Source organism: Homo sapiens, chromosome 4 (assembly GCF_000001405.40).
Source record: "Homo sapiens chromosome 4, GRCh38.p14 Primary Assembly".
Taxonomy (NCBI): domain Eukaryota; kingdom Metazoa; phylum Chordata; class Mammalia; order Primates; family Hominidae; genus Homo; species Homo sapiens.
Window position 1 is genome coordinate 133,514,665 of NC_000004.12, and position 1,629 is coordinate 133,516,293.

Sequence of the window (1,629 nt, forward strand, 5' to 3'; positions counted from 1 at the left end):
TCACATGAGCCTGGGAGGTCAGGGTTGCAGCCACCCAAGATCATGCCACTGCCCTCCAGCCTGGGCAACAGAGCGAGACCCTTCTCAAAAACAAAAAAACAAGTCGGGTGCAGTGGCTCACACCTGTATCGCAGCACTTTGCGGGGGCCAAGGTGGGAGGATCACCTGAGGTCAGGAGTTCAAGAGTAGCCTGACCAACATTGTGAAACCCCGTCTCTACTAACAATAAAAAATTAGCTGGGCATGGTGGCAGGCGCCTGAAATCCCAGCTACTCAGGAGGCTGAGGCAGGAGAAGAACTTGAACCCAGGAGGCGGAGGTTGCAGTGAGCCGAGATCGTGCCATTGCACTCAAGCCTGGGCAACAAGAGAGAAACTCCGTCTCAAAACAATAAAAAACAAAGAAAAACCAATGTCTTTTTGTCTGTGTATCAAATCTACCATGCTGTATTATTTTCCATGATAAAACAGAAAGGAAAACAAAACCAAAACCATCATAGATTTTATCGACTCTTTCATTTTTGTCTTGTTTCTCTGTTCTTTTAATGACAGAATTTGTTTATGATTTTACACTGTTTGTTTTGTTTTCTCATTCCTCAGTCCAGTCCAGACTGTCTTCTTCTCCAACACTCCCCTTGTCTGAAAGGGCCCTAATTATTTCCATGTTTTACAACACTATCTCCTTTTGCTGTTATTCTCTTATTTGCGCAGCCATCAGCATCCTAAATTAACAATATCCTCCTTTGGAAACACTTCCTCCATTGGTTCATGTACTCCGCACATTTCTAGTTTTCCTCCGAAGATTTGGCTGTTCTTTATAAGCCTCATCTTCTCATCAGTTATTCTGGTAAACATTAGTTTTCTCAATAGGACATCTCCTTATTTTCTCTTCATAAATGATATGATCTATTTCTATAATTTATTTGTGATTTTTGAAATGACTGGTTCTTATCCTAGACCCAAGCTCTCCACTGACTTCATAATAAATATGTCTGACTGTCTTCTTGACACTTTCGCTTTCTCGTTTCATAGTCATTTTAAAATTTAAAATATAACACATACTAAATACAACTGAAGTCATTAAAATCTATCATTTTTCCTTCAATTATTTATTATTTTATGTTTTTATTTTCTAACTGCTATATAGCTTGTAGTATCTATAGTTGGAAAACTGCTTGGCAGAATGGACTTTGCTGATGTAATGTTCAACTTGGAATTGTCTTTTTTTTTTTTTTTTTGGATGACAGATAGGGTGAGCCATAAACCTAGGCAGCAGCACATCCTAGGTCTCAGAAAAGCTAAGCATTTCTAAGCAAGAAAAAACACAGAGATACGGAGAGCTATAGTTGATATTTTTGAGAGCCATCATAAAAGTAGAGCTCATTTCTTGTTTAGGAATGTTGATAACTTATGCAGCGTCAAGTAGGAACAGGAATTGAATCCCTAGAAATATAGTCAGTGATAGCTAGTAACTGAAACTCAACCTTAGTCCAATAAAGAGACGGTGAATGTGTGTTTTTGTTTGGTGTTCATTTATTTTGTTTTTCCCATAACGCATGTGGCAGCGGGCATAAAAAATAATCATGGGATAATAAAGAAACAAAATGATGAATAAAGCAGAGAATATGATC

The 1,629-nt window shown here is 38.3% G+C and overlaps 1 annotated feature.

Moving 5' to 3' along the window:
* Positions 1,137–1,337: a silencer, noted in NCBI's record as "peak5117 fragment used in MPRA reporter construct". NCBI's record gives its function as "represses an SCP1 promoter by STARR-seq MPRAs in K562 erythroleukemia cells {active_cell/tissue: K562}" and the evidence as "EXISTENCE:reporter gene assay evidence [ECO:0000049][PMID:32103011]".